Below are 15,917 nucleotides of genomic sequence, written 5' to 3' on the forward strand. Positions count from 1 at the left end.
GGTTAGCAAGTCTAAAGCTCGTTGGTTTTGAAGGACTACTACAGCTAGGGAGTTAAGTTGATCTTGCAAGGTGACTAGGGAGTCGGTGACCTGTTCCATGTCACCATTTAGTTCTTGAGATAGTTTGTAGTAGAACCGAGTAGAGGTTGTGATACTGCCAATGCCAGTACCTAGTCCACCTAGCACTCCTGCTCTGATAACAAAAGGAAGAATGGGTACTCTTTTGTTGTGGGGCTTTGGTACGACATGATTGTATAAATCTTGTGCAGTGTAGATGGTCATAGGGGGCACTAAGAATGAGAGGAAGCACATAGATTTTGAAGAGCCATTCAAACGACGATAGGCTGAGGTACTACAGACAAAAAATATTCCTGAGGGTAGGCAGACTATTCGTGTGGGAGGAGTTACCCACCTGATGCATTGGGAATTGGTTGTGTCTATAGTATTGCTAAATTTTACACAGGTGAGGTTTGAGGTATGGGTTGTTTCCAGATTGGAAACAAGAGGTCCTACTAAAAAGGAAGTAGTATTTCTGTGCTGAAGTTGTTCCATTGTTCGGCTACAGGGATTGAAATGTGTGGCCTGAAGTGCAGGGGGAGGCACATCCAACAGTTAGTAGGGTTTTGGGCTGAGACCTCATGGAGCCCAGTGAGGGTGGTATTAAATAGGCTTACCAGGCAAGTATGGGTATGGAGGGTTTCATGTAGTTTTGAGAGATCTAGTCCTTTGTAGGGGCTAGGGGTGCTATGTACCCGGGTCAGTTGGGAGATTACTTCCTTTACGTGTTTTTCTCTTGCCTGATCTTGAACTCCACCCCCATCAGACAACAATATGCGTGAAGTAAGCCCAACAGACAGTGGTTCCCAGTCCTCCAGAACAACTAGGATTAATCATTTTCCCTGTCCAATAATGAGTATTTGCATGCATGCAAAGAGTGGCAGAGTTATAGCAATTGCGGGACATATGGGTGTGGGCAGTGAAGGTGGGGGTTCCCTTAGATAAACTCCTATACGATGGGGCATCAATATTTCTGGGAAGCTGCATCCTCCATAGAAACTCTTGGTAAGGGGAGCTACTGGTCGTACAGTGGCATGGAGGGGGTGCAGTGAGTGAAAGTCGGTAAGAGGACAGTAAAGAGAAAAATATGATAAGGGAGGGCCATGGGGATTTATGATTTTAGTTACTTTCCTCACTGTTGTCTGACAGCCACAAGTCTCCTTTAGCAGTGAGTATGCCATTCATATCATGAGATGTCCACACAGTAAGTTCTCTTCCCTGTATTAACTGCTTTAGATACTAACACTGCTACTGCCACCACTACCCGTAAACAATGAGGCCAATCCTTTGTCACTACATCAATTTCCTTACTCAGGTATGTCACAGGTTGCAAGCTCCTCCTTCGGACCTGTGTAAGGACTCCTAGAGCTATTCCTGTTTTTTTCTGTGACATATAAATAAAAGTCTTGCCTTGTTGGTAAGTGTAACACTGCAGCTTGGGTTAGGGCCTTCTTTAGGGCCTGGAAAGCTGCTTCTGCTTCAGGTGTCTATCTTACTAAATGGGTATTGGCTTTTTGAGTTTCCCTAATTAGTGTATATAATGGTCTGGCTGTTTCGCCATACCTGGGAATCCATATTCAGCAGAAACCTGTTATGCCAAGGAACCCTCTTAGTTGCTTTAGGGTTTTGGGATGAGGATAAGCCAGTATAGGCTGCATACGTTCCTCACTGAGGGCCCTGGTGCCTTTGGATAATTTTAGCCCTAAGCATTTATCCTGCTGTGAGCAGAGCTAAGCCTTTGGTTTGGAAACCTTATAGCCACATGTAGCGAGGAAATTTAAGAGTGCTTGGGTGGCTTGATGGCGCAAGGTTTCTGAACGGGTGCTAAAATTAAATCATCCACATACTGAAGGACAAGAGTGTCCAGGTATGAGAACTGGCTCAAGTCTTGGGCTAATGCCTGGCCAAATAGATGGGGGCCATCCCTGAACCCTTGGGGTAAAACAGTCCATGTGAGTTGAGATGTTGTGTTTTAACTGTGGAGTTAAATCAGTTGAAGGTGGGTAAATTTTATTCAAATAACTTGGTCTTCTTTTGGCTTCTATGGTACAGAATGATTTATCAATCTCTTTTCTTTCATTGGAATGGCCTAGAACTTGAATATGTTTGGGAATTAAACTAATTCCTTTTGTTTTTTGTCTCTTCTAAACTTGGCTTGTTTGCAAATGGAAGGCATCACTCCTCTGGGAGACATTACCTGGTGGCGAGGAGCACTGTTAAATATTTGGGAGTGTCAGTTCCCACATCTATAAAATGAGGACCCTGGCAGATGATCTCTAGGGTCCCTTCCAGTAGGAACATTTTAGTGTGCAGTGATTCTGCAGATGGGTTGGCATTCCACTCTAGGTCTAGATGTGGGAAAAGTTTAGCCACAAGGGTGCTAATTCTAGATTTCCCAGGAGAAAAATATCAAGGCTTGAGGGGCAGGAAGTTCCATCAGAGGGCCTAGGAGACTTCTCATATTAAGGAATCCTTACCAATTTGCTCTCATCCCTCAGCATCTATGCTAAGTATAGTGTCAGGAATCCTGTGATTTCTTCTTAAAACTGAGCTGAAACAATTCACTGATTCCATGGAAGAAACATTCTCAGTATTGAAAAACCATTTCTGCATCCCAGATCTCTGTAAACCATCCACTTTAAGCAAGATTCCTTCCATTCTGTGAATAAACAAATAGCTTTGTCCACATATCAGAGAGTCAAGGTTCCTATGCACAGTCTTGCAGAAGGGATAAGCTTGCCAAAGAAAAACCTGAACTTGAGAGTATTTACAGCAGAAAAGGAATATTTGATTCAGGACTATTGTAATAGGAGAAAAGAGGCCTCAGTATAGAACTGGGCCCAATTCCAAATATGGAGTGTGCAAGTCAGGATGCACAGCCAAGGAGCAGGGTGGGTGTCAGTGGATGGAAAATTACTAAGAGAAAGCCTCGAGGATTCTGGCTAAATGTACGTGACAGGATTCTTACTGAAGGCAGGCCAGGGTCATCAGATACCAAGTGGGGAAGATGAATAATTTGGTCAGGTGTTGTGGCTAATCATATATAGAAAGTGGAGATTCTCTCTAAACGGATTTAGCAAGATTCTTGCTAAAACTGGGCTCTTGATAATGTGCCCAAGGATGGGGCCTAGTCAAAAAAGGCAGCTCAAAAGAGCCTGCCTAGAATTTGGTCAAGGGGAGCATCTTGTCAGGCTCTGGAAGACTCCTTTGTCTCAAGGTAGTTCTTGGGAGTTTTCCTGTTTCCATTCCTTTTCATTGCATTCCACATAGGGCTTACAGAATCTGACCATGGAGGTGAGATGGCTAGGGGAGTTTCTTTAATTGATGTAGCATTTGTGAGACGAGATGAAAAGGATTTTTCTGGATGAGGGGGAGGCATTTTCTCCTACCTCCTTTTCCCTGGATGACCTTGTGTTGCTGCTTTGAACAAACCCTCCGGAGAAATCCTTGGAAAAATGAGACTATTAAGTCTAAACTTAACTACAAAGATTCAAGGCACCACAAGAGACATTAGAGGAAACCTTACTGAGACTGTTAACATTTCATGTTTCCTTTTTTCACTTGGAGACTTGATTTAAAGGAAGAAATCCGATACCTCTTTCTTCTGGAGAAACAAAGATGTGGTCTTTTTCCTTTTGTCTCTTCCTGAGATGTATTCAAGAGGCCCATGAGAGGCTGAATGTAACCAGCGCACCAACAATTTGTTCAGCTAAATGGGCAGTTCGATTTTCTTATCTGCACACTCTACTGAGTGGGACCCCTTGCCCTAAACCCCCAGCTAGGTGTGTTATTGGTGCTCATTCAGAACCCAGACAGCAGCTCCTTCTGATGCTGCTTTTTGTAGCAGAAATCATAAAACCCTTTGAAATGTATGTTGCAGCCAAACCTCTCTGCTTAGGGGAATCCTGCAGATACCTTTTTATTCTTTCTCTTTCGTTCTCCAGAGGATATCATCATGGCAGTCTGAGTTCAAAGTGGGTTTTTGTCATTTCTGTGCTTGGATGGGAGCCAGCAATTGCCTGCGAGACCTCTGAACTACAAAGTTTACCCAGCTGGTGAAATTTATTCCTAGGAAATTTGAAAATAATCTCTCATTTCACAGCAACTGAAGACAATGTTTTAAAAAATTTTTTTTAATATAATCTCTGCCATTTCTGGTTTTCATTCAAATGGAAAGGGGGTTTCTCTCTGAGGGATTTCATTAGAAAGAGAAGGAAGAGCTCCTCTTTCCAAGCCTCACCCTGTTAATTTCCAGTTCCTTAAAATTCAGAGAACTCTGGCTTGTTGTGTCTTTGTTTCTGGGTCTCAGAATCTTGGTGGTAAAAGACAGCCTGGTTTACTGTTGAAGAGAACGGGAGGGTTAGGGAGTTTGAGAGGCACATCCCTCAGTTCTCAAGCAAAGCCTTCTGAAGAGTGACTGAATGCTTCTCACTTAGTTTTTATTTATAAGTCTAAATGGATGAATGCGTGGAGTGAACCCTTCCATTTGTTTTAAGAATTGATCCATAAAGCACAACTAACTAGCTCATTTTTTTTCTGACTTGTCTGCCGGGAAAGTGCTGATCTGAGTCTGCTCTTCTTATTTTCCTTAACCCATAAAAAATGTCAAATGAAATGGATACATAGCTATGATTTCATTTCCATTATGCATTCATTACAGTTGAGATAAGGTGGAAACTTGGGGCTTATTTATTCTAGAGTCTGTCGCAGATCATATCTCACCCTCTGCTCCCCACCTCATAGTAATCTCAGTGCAGCTCTGTGTAGTACATGTCAGTGGGCTGTGTACTCCAATGACCCAGAGGACATCACATACATAGATGTCATTGTGGATAGTTTGATAAAGATTTCTAAATGGCAAATATCTAGGTAAAAAAAAGCAAGAGCAAGACAAATAAATGAAAAAGAACAAAAACAAAACAGTCCAGAGAACCATAAACTATTAATGTACATTGTACTTAGGCAAAAGACTGTGTTCTAGTTTTAGATTTACTTTGGCCTTTTTTTTAGCCCTACTTCTGCTTCCTTTACCAAAGTAATTTACTTTACCAAAGCTATTCTCAGACTTTCGGATAACCTAGTCATTGGATTTTATAGACTATTCCTGAATATGCTTTCCAAGGAATGTCTTTAAATAGAAGACAGGTGTTATGTAGTCAACACATATGGAGCTGGGCTGTATTAGGCACCTGCTTTGTGTGATCCTAAGCCTGGTGTACCCATCAGGACAGTGACTCCAAAGGTGGAAACTCTCACCAGATTCAGATGGTCCTCAATAAACTCTGGACCTCAGACAGACACCAGCTTTATTGAAAAGTTAATGTAAATTCATTTTTATGTATTAAAGAGATATACGATATGATTTGGATATTTGTTCCCTACAAATTTCATGTTGAAATATGATCCCCAGTGTTGGAGGTGGGGCTACGGGGAGGTGTTTGGGTCATGCGGACAGATCCTTCAGGAAGGGCTTGGTGCCTTCCCTGTAGTAATAACTGAGTTATTGCTTTATTAGTTCACACAAGAGCTGGTTGTTTCAAGAGAGCCTGGAACCTCCTCTCCCCTTCTCTCTTGCTCCCTCTCTTAGCATATGACACACTTGCTTCTCCTTCACCTTCCACCATGAGTGAACACTTCCTGAGGCCTCATGAGAAGCAGATGCTGGAACTATGCTGTCTGTACAGCCTGCACAACAGTGAGCCAGATAAGCCTCTTTTCTTTATAAATTTCCCAGTCTCAGGTATTCCTGTATAGAAATGCAAAATGGACGAATGCAATATATTTACATGTGTATTTATGTAAATACTATATATATATACACATTTTAAATGTACATTTAATCTCCCCATACAGCAAATTTAAATCCTAATATATGAGTATGATTTAAAGCCATTGGTTTTCATACCATGTACCACCATGTCCAACTGAGTGGCTTTATGGGCTGAGGGAGACCTGAAAAGGTGGATTTCATGGCTCTTTTCCATAGTAGATTAGATCCTCTTTTGTCTGTTTATACTGGGCCTGTAAATGAGGTTTGGTTGGAAGAGTTCTTTAGCTCAAAATTTAAAAACCACTGATGTAAAAGGTCATTCTGGCATGAACCACCAATCTCTTCTACCTAGGACATTGATGAAAGCCTTCTTCCTAGAATGGTTAGGGTTAAGAGCACACTTTTGATTCTAGTTCTGATACTGGTCCTGATTCTCTTCTTGTGTTGCACTCTCTCTTGCTAACTGCCCTTTGTGATGGCACAAGTTCTCTGCACTTGAGAAACTTCTCTAATAACTGAAGGATAAACTGGATGTTTTCTAAAATGTTTTCCAAAGCCACAGTTTTCCTTTATGCAAAAAGTCTGTAATAGAAATAGACTGTCATCAAACAACAAATCTGGGGTAATGATTTAATTTGAATTTTTAGTTCGTAGCTTTCTTTTTACTTTCTGGCACCCTAGTCTTTTGTTAAGACTATCTTTACATTGAATTACATTCCCTTTCTGAATATGAAAATACTAAATGGCAATTCTAGAACTGTTGGACAATACAGAATATCATAATAGACCACTCTTAGAGTTTATTTTGATGTTATCTTTTTGTCTTCTTGGTATTATCTTTGACTCTGAAAGTGTTTGCTTTCACTCTCTGAATTTACTTTTCAAATTTCCTTTCTTGATTCTTGTTTAAATGGCATTATTTTTTCCTACGTAATTGGATGAACAGAGTTTCCTTTTCCCTTGAAGTTTTAGATCAGACATGAAGTTCTCACATCCTCGAGTTGATCCTTCAGTGGGCTCTGGTTTACACTCTTTCTTTCACTGTCTGCTATTAATCTCTTCAGTATTTTGGTTCCAGTCAAGGAAATGACTTTTCTTTTTCATCTTCACCATTCCTCATCCTCTGATGCAGTGTGCCCTCTTTCTGAATGTTTTGATTCGCGTCTCATCTCTCATTTGACTAATTATATCACTCTCATTCTCTAAATCTCTTTTAAGAGTTTTTTTTTTTTTTCACTAGAAATAGTACTGAAAAGTTTTCTTTTCCTTTCTAATTTAATTTGTGGCTTTTATATCATATACTTTACTTCCCAAATGTTTAGCGATCCATTAAAACCAACCAACCAGACAACCAACCAACCAAACAAATCAACGGTTGGCCTTAAGTGACAAAAAGATTTATGGCAGAGTTGAGACTAGAGACTCGAACCTCCAAATTCCGGTTCTGTGATCTTTCTTCAAATGATGGTGCCTCTCACTACTCCCCTAATGAAAAACTAATAAGATCCTAGAATAACATTTAGATTAATCTTGCATAGCATGTAGTGCTCACTTATGGGCATTCAGATAGTGCACTAGGACTTCATTTTGGAAGAGGATTAGAACAGGGGGATCAGAACGAAGAGTAGACTGCCTTGTTCCTCCTAAAATGTAGTTTCTTCACTTGAGTATTTGCCAGACTTTGGGAAGATACAAACAATACAGTATTTTCAACTTTTTTTTTTTCTTTTTTTGCCATCTTTACATTGAGGACTTCTCTAATACCTCAGTTTAAAACAGAAACCTACCATCACCTTCACACTCCCTATCTTCCTTCCAGCCATTAGTTTTTCCACAGCACCTTTTACATTTTGACGTACTTGCTAGTTTGTTTGCTCATTGTTGGATCTTCTCCCCTCCTGCCACCTCCCCAACCTGAATGTAACTCCATAAGGTGGGAATATTTGTCTGTCTGTTCATTGCTATATCTTACCCCTGGCTCCACCCCTCCATTCCTTCCAATACTGACTAGGATATAGTTGATACTCCATGAGGATTTCATGGAGAAAAATCAACAAATGAATTGGTTAAGCCTCAGGACCCAAACCAAGCAAGGTAATCTCCCCCACTATTTAACAGATGGAGGAATCAGTTTACCTTGAGCTTATGCTACTTGGCGAAGGTCTCAGGATTTAGAGTCTCCTTTTCATCCTGTAAGCAACTAAGCTTTGCAACTGATGAAAAGATGCCATAATACATGCAATTAATGAAAATGTTGTGGAATTCATGTTACAACTCTGACTACAAACTAAACACCAATTCCAGATGTTTGATGAAAATACTTCTTAAGACTCCAGTATATGCAAATTTGGTTAGATCCCTTAGTCAAATGACAACCATGAACAAATGGAACACATACCCTCTGCATTAGAGCAGTGTCTGACAGCTTTCTCAGACCGAAAGAGTCTGTCAATACTTACCTTGGTCTGTTCATCTTAGAGACCCTCAGCAGCATCTGTAACCCAGAACTTGGCAAACAAAGTAAACTAGGAGACTGATTTGATTTCATCCCAGCTGGTTGAAGCTTCATTACCTACTAAGTCTGTTTAACGTGGTTGTTACTGTCCCTTTGCCCCAAGTCTATAGTCTGGTTGTAGTTTGGGTACAGACTGTTACTATTAATAACATAGTGGGTTTATTATTTTCATCTAGAACCATTTTTTTAATCACAATAGGGATTTGCTTTTGTCCTGAAATGTGAGGACAGATCTCTACACCAGCCATCCAGGGCTGGCTTTTCTACTTACACTGATGAAGATATCTGGTGACCTCTATTTTATCTTCCCACTTTATTACTGGTTTGGTGTGTGCTCCAGTTTCAATTGTACGGTTTTAGTTTAAAAGTAATGTTTCGTAGATCAAAGTGCCAGAGAAGAAAAAAAGCAGCAAGTAAACTTTGATATTGTTAGTAACGAAATCTCTTTGTTTTAGAAGCATGCTGCTTTTTCTATGGAAGTAAAGAAGGATGTGAAATCATCTGATTATATATGATAGTATTTGTGATTATTTCATCTAGGTGGGGAAACCTGGTAGTAGGGTTCCCTGTGTTAAACTAAGAATGGTCAAGAGAAAGAGGTTATGAGGACTCTTGCTATTGTGCAAATTTCCAAGAAGCAGAAAAATAGATACGTTTAGTCCTGAAAGCAATTTGCAAAAATAATAAGACCTACTAAAATGATGCTAGATCAAATAATGGTATGAGTCTCTTTTGTTTTGGTCCTTTGCCAACATTAGTGTACACACAGACATACGCTTGCACATGGCTTCTATGTCCAAATGTTCACAAAATCCCCACTAGTACACGTTTCCTGAGTATAGTTCCACTTCTCTCTTTTAGAAGCAAGTGAACCCTGAGAGCCTGTGGTCATACCTGGAGGGAAATGTCCTGAACTACGAGTTAGAGATCTCAGCTTCAGGTCCTGCTCTCTGTAGACTCACAGTGTGAGCCAACTGATTCTTTTTAGCCTTATTATTGTTATTATAGTTGATGTTCTCTGCTGTACCAACCTCGTGAAGTTGTAGGAGACTTCAATGAGATAGTAGGTGTGAAAACTGCAAATTATAGAGTATTGTGCAAATAAAGATAAAGGATTGTTTTGAGGATCACATTGTAGTTTGCTCAATGCAGGATTGTAAGGAGGGGAAGTTAGTCCTGATCGTGGGTGTTCAGGGCAGTGTCTGGGAATCCTCACAATCACTACCCCCCGACCGTTTTTTAAAAAAAATCTTTGAGGAGGGAGCACACAGTGGAAAACAATTGCCAAATGGGAAATGAGATATGACTTTTTAAATATTTGATAAGCATCCAAATATCTCATTGTATAAATGTCACACTGGAAAACTACTTAGGCTCCAGGCCTAAGTGAGGCTTCCTATTTTATTGCTCTTGAATCGAAAAGCCCCACAGTCATGGGCAGAGGAGATGGAAGAGAAGGAGTGATGGATGTGGAGACAGTTGGAAAGAGAGTGAGAGTGAGCTACTTGGTTTTGGCTGAGGGAAAGAGGTGAGCCCTGGAGACTGGTCTTTGCCGGCATGCTATATGGAAGCTGGAAGAACATGCCAGGGCTCCTGCTTTCAGGGCACAATCACTCTTGTGTCAAGCCGATCTAAGTCCTGGACTCAGATGATGAAATGGACAATTTTTGCTCCACTGGCGTTGGAGGCAGGGGGTAGCATGTGAAGAGGTGGGCAGAGAATGAAAGGGGGATGGGGGAGCAGAAGTTCCCTCTTTAGCTGCTCCTGCTCAGGAAAGAATATATGTGCCACCCCAATTGAACAATGAGAACACATGGACACAAGGGGGGGAACATCACACACCGGGGCCTGTCGGGGGCTGGGGGAGGGATAGCATTAGGAGAAATACCTAATGTAAATGAAGAGTTGATGGGTGCAGCAAACCAATATGGCGCATGTATACCTATGTAACAAACCTGCACGTTGGGCACATGTACCTTAGAACTTAAAGTATATGTAAAAAAAGTCGCTTAACTAAAAAGACTCCATGCAGAAATAAAATGACAAGAGTTTAGAAAAACAAACAAACAAACAAACAAACAAACAAAAACAGAATATATGTGCCACCCCAAAGGGGCACGGGAGGGAAGAGATAAGAAGCAGTGCCGATGGTAAGGGGCTCTTTCCTATAGGGCTCCAGAGGAGTTATTGATTTATGACCTCAAATAAATCTCTTTGCCAGGAGTTTTGTACCTGGTCAGTTCTGTAACTCTAGCCAAACTGAGAAGAAAGTCTACACAGAAGGTGGAGTTGTAAGTGTGCTTCTAGTGTATGAGACTGTATTTTCCTTCTGTTTCCTAAAGTGACACAGAAGTGAAACCTTGCTAGTGGTTACTTAGCAATTAAGTTCATTACTTTGTGTTTTTAAAAATAAATGAACTACATTGCAAAAAACTACTATTGTAAGCATACTTAGGATGTTTCTAAGACAGCAAAGGTTTTTCTCAACACCTGTGATTTAATACAATGCAAGTGTTTAGTTTTTTTTTTCTTTTTCTTTTTCTATGTTCTCAGAGTTAAGATTAAAAAATGAGGCTGGAGACGAGGGAATCTTAAGAATGGAAAGATTGTATGTTTCAGTTTTGCTCATTGAAAGTTGGCTAATAATGGATAATATAGACATTTATATACAAGGAAGGAATAGAAATGACTGTATTCTATCAGTGAATTCTTAATTTGTGCTTTATTTTCACTTTTAGTAAGTTAAACATTTTAAATGTCTCCTGGTCAGTAATGTAATTTTTTAAAACAAAATATGATGAGGTGAAAACAGGAAACTTTCTGCATTCTGTAGTAAATTCTGTTAAATGAATAAGTTAGTGAAAAAGTTTCTAATAAAATAACATTGAATAATTTCACTGTATTGAGTTCAAATGTCCTTGGGTTTCATGACTTTTCATCTTATTCTATCCATTTACTCATTTAGTGAGTTATACAGAAAAACTTCCAACTCCTGAAGTGACGGTACATGCCACAAAAAGATTTAGACCAGCATCTTCTGAGAAAAATACCCATGCCTGAGCCCTAAAATGATATTTTGCCAATCTTTTAAAAAGTAATAAACTTAACAAAGAGCTTCTTCTCTTATAAAAGTTGGGCACAGGTCTACTATTTATAAACAGTGACTTTGGCTCACCAATCTTTTTTTTAGAATTTTGGATAAGGCTTTGCACACAGTAGGTGCTCAATGAAAAAAGAAAGAGCCATTCATCAGTTTATGATACTAACTTGCCCTCCCTCCCCTTCTTTCACTTCACTGTACTTTTTTAGAGGAGTGACACTAAAACTACTGCTACCGCCTGCTGCTTGGAAAAACCTCTATCATCCTTCTATTCTTCCAGTCTTCTAAAGTAGATGTGAATTTAGGTTCTAAGAGGTTAATGGGAAGAATGTCATAGGGGTGTATTGTTTATGTAGTAACAACAGAATGAATTAAAAGTTTAAAGCTTTAATCAGTGTGTGTGTGTGTGTGTGTGTGTGGGTGGGTGGGGGCAGTGTTTTGACATTGGTAGTGTTTTGATAATTTAAACAGTTTTATTTTTCTCTTGAACTGATTATTTTGGTGTCATATGGACTCCATTACCTTTTCAATATTATGTTGTTAGCCTTTTTTTGAGAATTCATCATGTTCTTATTGTGTTCTTGACTACATGTACTGTTAGTTCTTTAATTTTTTTTCTTTTTCTTTCTGCAGGAGACCATGAAATAATTCCAGTATGTTTGCTTAATTGTTGGGTATTCCTGTGACAAAGAAGGCACTACTCAGCCAGCCAGAATGCACTGACCACCACTGCAGGGTTTCAGTCACATGAGACATCTGGGTGATAGAGGGAAGTGTGGGGAATGGCTATCATTGATGAGCCTGTATGTTCTAAGTGATCTGGGGACTAAGGCTTATTTTTCTCCAGGCTTGTCTTATGAAGAAGTTTTAGTCTATTTGGAATAGATAAGGCTTATACACATAAAGTAACTGATACTCAATTATATGTAATTATGTTAGTTGGGGATAAGGCTAAGCTGTGTTATGTAGTGACTCAAAAATGCGATGACTCAAACAAGATTGGAGCTTGTTTCTCTCCGGGAATGAATGATCCCACACTCGGGGGCAGCTAGGCTGCTGGGATCCAGGTTCCTTCACCTGTTGCTCTGTTATGGTTGAAGCTGGCTTATCCCAACCTCATTCACATTTCAGCCCACACAGCTAGGCAGAAGAGGGGTGAAAGTGGAGCATGAGCAATGCCTTTTCTTTTATTTTTTTTAAAGTCAGTATTATTGCATTATAATTTACAGAAAATAAAATACACCTATTTTAAGTGTATACTTTAATGGGCTTTGGCAGATTGCTTACACGCATTGAACCACCACCCTAATCAAGATAATGGCATTTCCATCATCCCTAAACATTTCCTCATGCCCTTTGCAGTAAATGCCATCTACTCTTGGTCTAAGGTGGCTACTGATTTGATATCTATCACTACAGATTATTTTTGCCTGTTCTAGAATATCACATAAATGGAATTATATGGCAGGTGCTTTCAGGCTGGGTGATATAAGTCAGGTGTCTAAGTTGTAAATTTAAACAGACACTCACACTAAGTTTTATGCCAGTGCTGACTCTACAATGCACCCTGCGCCATGCTGCATTGTATCTTGTTTCTTTTGCCCTGTGTATTGTTTTTGAGATTCATTTATTTTGTTATGTGTATCAGTGGTTCATCATTTTTTGTTGCTGTGTAGTAGTCTATGTCACAAATTCACTACAATTTGTTTATACGTTTGTCTACTGATGGACGTTGTTTCCGGTTTTGGGCTTTTATGAACATAGCTGTCACAAACAGATGTGTACAAGTATTTTAGTGAACATATGTTTTCATTTCTCTTGGGTAAATACTCAGGAATGGAATTGCTGGATCATATGGTAAGCGTGTCTTGGTAACTTCAGGAGACTGCTGAACAATTTTTGAAAGTGAATTTAATACTCGATAGTCTCATTAGCAATGTATGAAAATTCTAGTTGCTTTACAGCCTCACCAACACTAGTTATCATCAACGTGTTTAACTAGCTATTCTAGTAACTATGTTGTGATATCCATTGTAGTTTTTTCCTTTTTTGTCCCCGTACCCTAAGCTCCTATCCATTGTAGTTTTAATTTGCATTGCCCTGATGACTAGTAATGTTAAGCATCATTATATGTGATTATAAGCTATTGTAGTGTTTCGTAAAATATTTGTTAAAATTTTTTGACTATTAGAAAAAGTAGGTTGTCTTATATTATTATTGAGATGAAATCTTTTAATATTCTGATTCATGCTTTATATGACCTAAGAAATCTTTGCAAAACTCAAAGTGTCAAAAGATATTCTTTTATGTTTTCTTCTAAAAACATAATAATTTTAGCTTTAATTTAGATCAGTTTTCCATTTTGAGTTAATTTTTATATATGTTGAGAGATAAGGGTTAAAGAGCATTTTTTCCCCCTTGTAGATATCCAGTTGTTCTAGAACAATTTGTTGAAAAGACTATTTTTCCTCCAGTGAATTACTGGCTCCTTCTTAAAATAAATTTTCCATGTATGCATGGGTCTGTGTCTGTTCCAATGGTCTATATGCCCACCTTTATACCAATACCATACTATCTTGAATACTGTAGCATTATAATCATTCTTGAAACAAGTAGTATATGTCTCAAATTTCATTCTTTATCAAAATTATTTTGGCTTCTCTGTATTCCCATATGATTTTTAGGATCAGCTTGTCAGTTTTCAGAAAAAAATGCTAGAATTTATATTTCGATTTGGTTAAATGTACAGATCAATTGGCAGACAACTGACATCTTAACAATAGTATGTCTTTTATTCCATGAAAATGGTGCTTATTACAATCTTTAATTTTTCTGAGCAATGTTCTGTAGTTTTCAATGTATACGTCTTTGTTAAGTTTTGCTTTGTGTACTTCATGTTTTTGCTGTTATTTTAAATGCATTGTTGTATATGTTTGCAATAGTTTTTTGCTCACATATAGAAAGGTAATAATTGTGTATATACTTTGCATCCTGTGACCTTGCTTAATTTATTAATTCTAATAGCTATTAAAATATCATTTTAAGAGTTTTCTGTGTACATAATTATGTCATTTGTGAATAAAGATAGTTTACTTCTTCCTTTTGAATCTATATGCCTTCTACTTATTTTTCTTGCTTTATTACAGTGGTTAGAACCTCCAGCGCAATGTTGGGTAGGAGTGGTAACAGCATTCTCCTTGCTTGTTCCCAATCCTAGGGAAAAGCATTCAGTCTTTCATCCTTTGCATGATGTTGTCTGTAGATCTTTTATAGATTCAATTAAAGAACTCTTAGTTTGCTGAGAGTGTTTATCACAAATGGTTGTTGAATTTTTAAAATGCCTTTTAGCCATTATTAAGATAATTATATGAATTTTCTTTTTTATTCCGTTAATGCTGTGAATTACAATGATTGATATTCAAATGTTGTATTCCTGGGATATACCACCCAGCCCCTAGTCATGATATAGTATCCATTTTACATATTATGAGATTCAATTTGCTAACATTTTATAAACAATATTTTGTTATATGCTCACAAGGATTATTGTTCTATAGTTTTCTTTTCTTGTAATGTCTTTTTGGTATCAGGGTTATGCTGTCCTCATAAGGTAAATTGGCACATTTCTTAAAGCAATTTTGAAAGCTAGTATTATTTTTTCCTTAAATATTTTATAGAATTTTATCAGTGAAGCTATCTGGGCCTAAAATTTTCTTTATGGAGAGTTAAGAATTTTTATTATAAATTTATTTTTAAATATAGAATAGGGTTATTTATATATTCTTTTTCTTCTTATGACTGCTTTGGTAGTTTATATCTTTTGAGAAATTAGTCCATTTCATCCAAGTTGTTAAATTTATTGTCATAAAATTGCTCATAATACTGCCTTTTAGTATTTGTAGTATCTGTGGTCATGTCTCTCATTTCTAATACTGGTAATTTATGTTCTTCTCTCTCTTTTAAAATCTTTTATCACTGTAGGTGGAATTTTATAACATTTATTGACATTTTTCAAGGGCCAACTTTTGATTTTATTCACTGTTTGCATGTTGTATCATGCATTTATTTCTGCTTTTTTATTATTCTTTCTTTTTGCATAATTTGGATTTATCTGTTCTTCCTTTTCTAGCTTTTTAGAGTGATAGGCCATAGATTTGTTTTAGAATTTTCTAGCTTTCTAATAAATGCATTTAAAGCTATAATTTTTTCCTCTAAGCATCACTTTAGCTGTATCCTATAACCTTGATATATTGAATTTTATTTTATTTTATTCAGTTCAACATAATTTCTAATCTCTCTGTATTAGTCATGGTTCTCTAGAGGGACAGAACAAATAGGATAGATAGATGTATGTATAAAGGGGAGTTTATTAAGGAATATTGACTCACATGATCACAAGGTGAGGTCCCACAATAGGCTGTCTGCAAGCTGAGGAGCAACGAAGCCAGTCTGAGTCCCAAAGCTGAAGAACTTGG

The 15,917-nt window shown here is 38.1% G+C and overlaps 1 long non-coding RNA gene across 1 annotated transcript in view; it reads left to right on the forward strand.

The window, feature by feature from the left end:
* Positions 1-14,553, forward strand: part of RMEL3 (enriched in melanoma 3) — a 140,307-nt gene extending 125,754 nt beyond the window's left edge. Inside the window, exon 4 of the long non-coding RNA NR_186596.1 lies at positions 12,076-14,553. This is a non-coding gene — a long non-coding RNA (enriched in melanoma 3). The remainder of the gene's footprint in view (positions 1-12,075) is intronic.
* The last annotated feature ends 1,364 nt before the right edge of the window (positions 14,554-15,917 follow it).

This window comes from Homo sapiens, chromosome 5, assembly GCF_000001405.40.
Source record: "Homo sapiens chromosome 5, GRCh38.p14 Primary Assembly".
In the NCBI taxonomy this organism is placed as follows: Eukaryota; Metazoa; Chordata; class Mammalia; order Primates; family Hominidae; genus Homo; species Homo sapiens.